This window comes from Homo sapiens, chromosome 8 (assembly GCF_000001405.40).
Source record: "Homo sapiens chromosome 8, GRCh38.p14 Primary Assembly".
In the NCBI taxonomy this organism is placed as follows: domain Eukaryota; kingdom Metazoa; phylum Chordata; class Mammalia; order Primates; family Hominidae; genus Homo; species Homo sapiens.
This window is the reverse complement of record NC_000008.11, coordinates 81,355,315-81,363,279: the sequence shown is the minus strand read 5'-3', so window position 1 is coordinate 81,363,279 and position 7,965 is coordinate 81,355,315. Positions and strand designations below refer to the sequence as shown.

General features: G+C 35.8%; 1 long non-coding RNA gene across 1 annotated transcript; it reads right to left on the bottom strand.

The window, feature by feature from the left end:
- Positions 1 to 2,326: 2,326 nt before the first annotated feature.
- On the bottom strand, positions 2,327 to 6,498 carry LOC105375926 (uncharacterized). Its single transcript, XR_929106.3, has 3 exons — positions 6,146 to 6,498; positions 3,552 to 3,720; positions 2,327 to 2,508 (listed from the first exon to the last, which is right to left on the bottom strand). It is a non-coding gene; the product is annotated as an uncharacterized LOC105375926 (long non-coding RNA).
- Positions 6,499 to 7,965: the final 1,467 nt, after the last annotated feature.

The window sequence follows — 7,965 nt, the reverse complement described above, 5'->3', positions numbered from 1 at the left end:
GACAGTGGTGAGCTTACCCATACAGGTAATTTACTGAAGAGACATAGCGTGGCTCATAGACTGACAGAAGGTGATGGAGTTAGTCTCCAGGAAACAGTAAAAAATCAAGGAAGCCTAGACAGCCAAGGTCATTCACAGCAACAATCTAAAAGCTACCTGCTTTGATAACAATCGTTGAACACTTGGCGTTGCTAGAGTTGGATTCCTGTTATGCTTGTTCTATCCACAGATAATTTCTCAGCTAGCCTTATGTTTGTATCCTTATCTCAAATCCCAGATAGCTTCATCTCTTTGATTGACCTAAATCATGTCCCCACATTCTAGCTCAGTAGTTCTTATGGTATAGTCCCCAACCGGCAGCATCAAGATCACCTGGGAATTTGTTAGAAACACAAATTCTCAAACCCCCTGGGGATAGGGCTCAGCAATCTATGTTTTAAAAAGTTTTGCATGTGATTTTGATTCATGCTAAGGTTTCATGACTACTGTTATAACCACAGCGAGGCGGGAGGAAGCAGTATTTGGCCACTTCAGTTCCATAATGGGACCAGTGCCCACTTGCTAGGAGATTACTAAAAGGCAGGAAGGATGTTCACAAGTTGTATAGCAAAGAAACAAACAAAAAGAAGCAGATATCCACTGTATGTTTTTACAATCCTCAATTTCAGGAAGACTAGGAATTTCCTAATATCATAAAAGTAATAAGTACTGGAACAATTCAAACTTAGTAACCCCTGTCTCTACTTCTCCATATTCCACATTTTATGACCTATTTTGTCAACGATAAATACCTGATGTTCATTTGAATTTCATCTATGTGAACATGACCTCATATTTTAAAATCAGATATGAAAATAGCTTTGTTTACTGGATTGTTTTAATAGCACCTATTTATTCAAGCTTTGTCTACAACACTGATAAACACGGGGTGTAGCTTTCCCTGGCAGCTGTTTCTGCAGAGTTTATAGAATTAACCATTTAAATATTTGATTTTCACTCAGCTGACATCTTAAAGCATCCATGGGTCCCATTTGACATAATCAACCTCCAACACAAAATGATATCATTTACACAATTATGTTTACTTTAGTATACAATAAATCATCTTTCCACTTAAAAATAGTAACATTATTGTTTTTGTTATTAGGTAATATTTATTTAGTGCTTGACATGTGCTAGGCACCATTTTGAGTTCTTTACATGTCTTACATCATTTATTATTATAACCTTACCAGTTAAGTACGTACACTATTCTCATTTTTATATAAGATAATTGAGAAAAAGTGAGATGAAATAATTTTGACAAATTCACATAGCTAATAAGTGGTGGATCTGGGATCTTATTCAGAGCAGTTGGCTTCATACTAGTCATCCTAACCATATGGTGACCAAGTGTTCCAGTTTTTCTGGGACTAGGGGATTTCTCAGGATGCAGGGCTTTCAATACTAGGATGGTTTGTCTTATTACAATCACTATACCGATCTGCAAAATAAACTTAGGTCTCCTTATTTTTTTAATTTAATGGCATTCAGAATATATCAAGCTGCTATGAACTACATGTTGGTGTCTCCCCTAAAATTCATATGTTGAAGACTAATGCCCAATATGATGGTATTTGGAGTTGGGGCCTGTGGCAGCTTATGAATATAGAGCCCTCACAAATGGAATTAGTGCACATATAAGGAGAAGGAGAGAGCTTCCTCTCTCCCTCTGCTCCATCATATGAAGATACAAGAAGGCATTCATCTGCAAAGCAGGAAGAGTGTGCTCACCAGACATTGGATGTGCCAGCACCTTGATCTTGGACTTCCTGACCTCCAGGACTGTGAGGAATAAATTTCTGCTGGTTAAGTCTCACAGTGTATGGCATTTTTATTATGGCAGCCCAAACTAAGATAGAAGATGCTGGCTGATATCCATTGTTCCAGCAAAAATGGAGCCACATGGGCATACGGGGGCATGCGGGTCTCCAGTGTCTCTATTCTATTTGCAACATTCCAGAGTGTCTATCACTTAATGACAGAAAGGCCCTTTCAGAGGAGAGGATTTACCCGAAAGAGCTTTGCTGTTCTGAAGAAGCCCCTGGATTTCCCCACATATTCCTGTCCAAACGAGGACAAGAGATTCCAAAAGTATGATTTAATATAAATTACTCCAGTGTTTTTCTCCGTAAGAACTTAAAACTCTTTAACAAAAACTTGAACCAGTTTGTAAATGGCAACTATAAAGGAGACAACGGAATAAAAAACTGGAGAGAAGAATAATGAGGAAAGGAAGAGAGAAGAGCTAAAATATTTAGTGGTGATTTAAGTTACTTACCAGAATAGTACTGAGGAAGATAGCACATGCAGTGTTCTTCAAACAACACACAGCACTTTACACTTGCAGAGAGGAGTGCTCCATGATACTGGGGTTATGTCAATAATTCTCACCTCCAAACCTCAGGAAGGAACAGCTGTCAGCCTCCTAATGTAACATTTCAAACATCCTTCCTAGACGTGACTCTTCTGTTAATTGAGACATCCGGTTAGATATCAAAATACTTGCACTTTAAAGAAAGTAAAGGGTCTTAATGAATTTCTTCTGTCCCCATTCACATCTCCACAGACAATCCTTTTAGTTATTTGTTTCTTCTGGTAGTTACTTCTTTAAATGGCTGTTACTGCTAGATAATAATCTTAGGCAGCTAGTTCTAGATTTCTCAGTTTACTTGTTATTTATATATGTTCTGCTCTAGTAAGAAATTATTTAACACATTAACGACAACTTTCACTTGTCCCCAGTGTAGCTATGTCAATATTTGTACTTCTCTGTTGATTACCTTTTTAATTTTAGATAATAATGTAGCTCACCTTTATTGTTCTCTCCACTTTATGAAATAAGGATGTTAGCCCCTTCACTATTCCTTTCCACCTTCTAGCCTCTGACATGTGTACTTGTACTATAACATTTCAAGGCTAATACCATTTACATGCCATCCTATAAACATACTATTTGATGCTTTCACATGGCATGATTCTAAAAGTTAAAAATCAGGCCAGGTGCAGTGGCTCACGCCTGTAATCCCAGCACTTTGGGAGGCCGAGGCAGGCGGATCACGAGGTCAGGAGATCGAGACCATCCTGGCTAATATGGTGAAACCCCGCCTCTACTAAAAATAAAAAAAATTAGCCGGGTGTGGTGGCGGGCGCCTGTAGTCCCAGCTACTCAGGAGGCTGAGGTGGGAGAATGGCGTGAACCCAGGAGGCGGAGCTTTCAGTGAGCCGAGATTGCGCCACTGCACTCCAGTCTGGGCAACAGAGCAAGACAGTCTGAAAAAAAAAAAAATCAATAAAGTGTTTATTTACATCTTTATAATTATGTAAATATTGTTCACTATCCAGTTGAGTGTCATGATTACATTTATTTCCTGTGTTTTTTTAGTTCGAAAATGCTTTCTTATTTCTTTGCATTATTTGTTTATATCATCTTCTTAAGTCATTTTAAGAATACTATAAAATCTCTCAGGCCCCTTTGATTTCCTTGTGATCGCCATCCCAGATCTTCTTACCTCTGGTTTATTCTGACCTGTAGATAGGTTCTCTAGATCAACTGTAGAGCCATCATCATTGTACTTTCCTTTATTAATTTTGTAAATTAAATTTACACTGCCATAGACTATATCTTCCTCTCTCTTCATTCACTCATTCTTTTTGCTGGAGCACATACTCAAGTAACTCCTGAGGAAAGGATAAAAGTTCCAAGTGTTTGCACTTATAAAAATGGCTTTATCATACCCTTGTAGTTAATTGCTAATTTGACTGTATAAACAATTCTAGATGGAAATTATTTTCCCCTTCAAATTTTAAAGGCTTTATTCTAGTGTTTTTTAGTCTGATTTTTTTCCTTAATAACCTACTTTCTTTCACTAGAAATTTTTTAGAATATTTTATGTATCCCTTGTGTTCAAAACTTTCAGTTATGTCTAGTTTTCATTGTGCTGGGAGCTCACTAGATTTTTTTTTTTTTTTTTTGGTTTTGGGTTTTTGTTTGTTTGTTTCATTTGCAGGCTACTGTCCTTCAGTTTGAGGTATTCTCTAAAATATCAGCCTTCAAACTTTTTTTATCCTAGATCTTCTTTACACTCTTAAAAAATATTGGAGACACTAAAGATATTTTGTTTACTGCATCTATCAGTATTTAACATACTAGAAATTTAAATTCAGAAATGTAAAAAATACGCATTAATTTCAAAATATTTTAATAAGAAAATCATTGCATGTTAACATTGATAATATACATTTTTTTGAAAATATACTTCCCAAAACAAAAGGATTAAGGTTAAAAATAGCATTGTTTTTGACAATCTCTATAATATCTTACAAGAAGACAACTGATTCTTGTATTTGCTTCTGCATTCAATCTGTTGAAATATGTCTTTTGGTTATGATAAAGAAAAGGGAGGACCTCAGAGGTCCTCAGATCATACCTTGAGAACTGCTGTTCTAGTTTTTCGATAATTCCTCCTTTCCAATTTTACTAATCTTTTTTATGGAATCCCATTGGTTATATGTTGGATCTCACATATTGATAATTTCATATCTCTGAATTTTACCCTTGTATTCTACAACTCTTCATCCTTTGTAATATTTTCAAGGACACTTCCTTAATTTGAATTCGAACTTATTTGTTTATTTTTGTGTGTGAAAAAAATTTTCAGAGAGGCCTTTCTTATTTCCTCATTATTACTTAGTATACTATCTTCTTTTACTGGATGGAAATTTTTAATGAATCTTTATAAGGATACCAATCAGAGGTTTTTAAAATTCTTTTCTATTCCCTGTATCATTTGTTTTTCAATGGTCACTTTTAAGACTGAGGCAACAGAAAGCTGATTGAGAGACCTGGATATGTGGATGGAATTTGTCAATTACCAGATTTACTTCTGAGATGACAACGCAAGTCAATCATTTCACTGGAGATGACTAAATGTCTGAATGGAATTGGCTTTATCTGGGGGGCACTGATCTCTTTAGTTTTGGACTGGAGTGGTAGTAATGCACATGGTATGTCCAAATCCTAGACAGTCCAGAGATCTGTGGGGCTGATCAGCAACCTCTTTGGCTGTGTTTCTTCTTAGTGTATGCTACACAGTCCTGCTTCTCTCCCACTTCATCAGTTTTCATACTCCATCTACTTCCTATTTCCTTAAAATTTCTTTACATCTCACATTGGTGAGTATTCTTAACTCTATCTTTTTAACTGAAAATTTGTGTCCTCAGTCAGCTATCTTTAAGCAGAGCCATGCTCTTTTACATTTATAATTCATATTTTAATGATTTGCAATTCCTTTTTCAAAACATCTTCACAGTTGTTATTTTATTTTATCCCGATAATGCTCTCCAGAAGTAAATGAGAACAATATGTATTTTCATGTCTAGTTTTTGGGTGATGAAATTGAGTGCAAGAGAACTTGAGTATCTTACCCAGTAATATTCAAGAGATAAAGAAAAAGTTGGAAGTAGGACCTGGATCTACTCATTTCTATCATAGTTTGCTGTCCATTAAATGAAGCTGTTTCATGCAAAAGAATTGGATTTGGTATCAGGAGAGCTCAGTTTAAATTCTGGCCTTACTATTTACTTGATGGGTGAAAACCAGGGTTTTGGTTTCTGCAATTATAAATGGGGATTATAATAATTGTCCTACTTATTCTTCAGAGAGTTGTTATGATTAATAAAATGAGGCAATATTTGTAAAATTGCCTTATAAACTGTATAATTCAATACACATATTAAATATAAATTTCCTAAATAACTAATTGGTATATACTTTAACTTTTTTTATTTTCAAGGTTATTTTCAAGGTAGACTGTGTGAAAGAGTTATTTTACTCATATAGTTCCAAATCCAAAAGAGTAAAAAAAAAAATACAGGAAATGATTGCTTCCATGGCTGCCTCAATCCATCTCATCTCCGTATCTCCTAGCAATGTGTAAGAGTAACTGCTTCCACAAAGCCTTGACAATCTAGTTGTCAAATTTCTGGATTTTTGACATTCTAAAAGAAGTGGAAAATAGTAAAAATGGTTGCTCTGGTTATCTATCACTATATATTAAAAGACCACCTTAAATCAGCTCACAGTGGCTTAAAACAAAACACTTACTTAACTAGTTTCAAATCTTCAGTTTCTCCAAGCTTGACGAGGACAGCTCCCTCCAGGGCCAACTGGGCAGCTCAACTGAGGCTGGAGGCCCTGCCTCCAGGACGGATACTCACATGGCTGGCAAGTCAGTACGGACTGTTGGTTCCTGTCCGCATGGGCCTTCCTACTGAGAAGCTTGTGCTTCCTCACAGCATGGTGGCTGGGTTTTAAGAGAAAGAGACAGAGGAAGTGGAAACTGTGTTTCTTAAAGCCTTGGCTCAGAAATTGGCCCAGTAATACCCCTGCGTAAGCTTTTGGTTGCAAAGCTACAGAACTCAGATTCAAGAGAAAGAGATACAGACTTCACCTCCTAATGGAAAGAGTGTCATATAATTCTGGGGCCATGTTTTGAAACCATAAACATGGTATTATTTGATTCAGCATTTCTCTTTTTATGAGTGCAGATGAGTATCCTCTTATAAATCTAAAGGCCATTTGTATTGCCTGTGCTGTACTCTCTGTTCATATTCTTTGCCTATTTTTTTCCTATGTGTTTAACAGACAGACATCTTTATTTATTTATTTATTTATTTATTTATTTATTTGACAAAGTCTGGCTCTGTCACCCAGGTTGGAGTGCAGCAGCACAATCTTGGCTTTCTGCAAGCTCCACCTCCCGGGTTCAAGCGATCCTCCCATCTCATCCTCCTGAATAGCTGGGATTACAGGTGCGCACCACCATGCCCAGCTCATTTTTGTATATTTCGTAGAGACAGGATTTCACCATGTTGCCCAGGCTGGTCTCAAACTCCTAGGCTCAAGCGATCAGCCCACTTCCTTGGCTTCCCAAAGTGCTGGGATTATGGGCATGAGCCTTTTTTAAGTTGGTGCAAAAGTAAACTTAAATATTAGGTTGGCGAAAAAAAAAACGTAATTGTGGTTTTTGCTATTACTAGTGTGGCAAAAAGCGCAATTACTTTTCCATCAACCTAATATTTATTTGAAGAAGATGCTTACGTAAGAGGGAGGTGAGCTTTTTCTTTGTGATATGAGTTACAAATAATGTTTGTCAGTTTGTCAGTTGTCTGTCCTTTGAATTGGCTTATCAAATTTTTACCTCCACGCAGAAGTTTTTGTTTTGACTTGTTTTAATGTACTTGAATTTTACAATCTTTTCTAAAATGGCTTATGGCTTTGAGTCTGTAATTAGAAAGATCTTCCTCCTTTACAAGAATTTACTAATGTTTTTGCTGTTTGATTTTTTTACATTTAAAATATTAACTCATTAAGAGTAATTTATGTTGATGTATGCATGAGGTATTTTTATTTTTCAAAATGAACTTGACTATTACCTCCACTTCATCTCATCACCCCATTTAAAAAAATTCGGAATGCTTCTTAAGTTATTCCATAAAACATGATGCTGGCTCAGTGCTCTTTTCAGTATTGTTAATGCTGATCAGTTGTTTTTTCTCTTTGGATCCATCAAGTAATGAATTACAGTTCATAATATTGTCTTATATTTCTAAAATAAACCCCACCTTGTAATGACTTATCATTTTTTTAAGAACTACTGAGCTTTATATGCTAGTATTTTCAGATTTTTGTACTTTATTGATAAATGAGATTAGTCTCCATATTCTCCTTTTGGTGTGATCTTTGTCATTTCTTTGTTATCAATGTTATACTTCCTTCATAAAATGCACCTAGAGACTTTTCTTCTTTTTTAATGATCTGAAATAATTTAAGTAACATTGGAATTTTGTGGTCTCTAAATGTTTTGTAGAATTCTCCAGGGAAACCATTTGAAGAAACAAAAGCAACTTTTTTACTTATTTGAT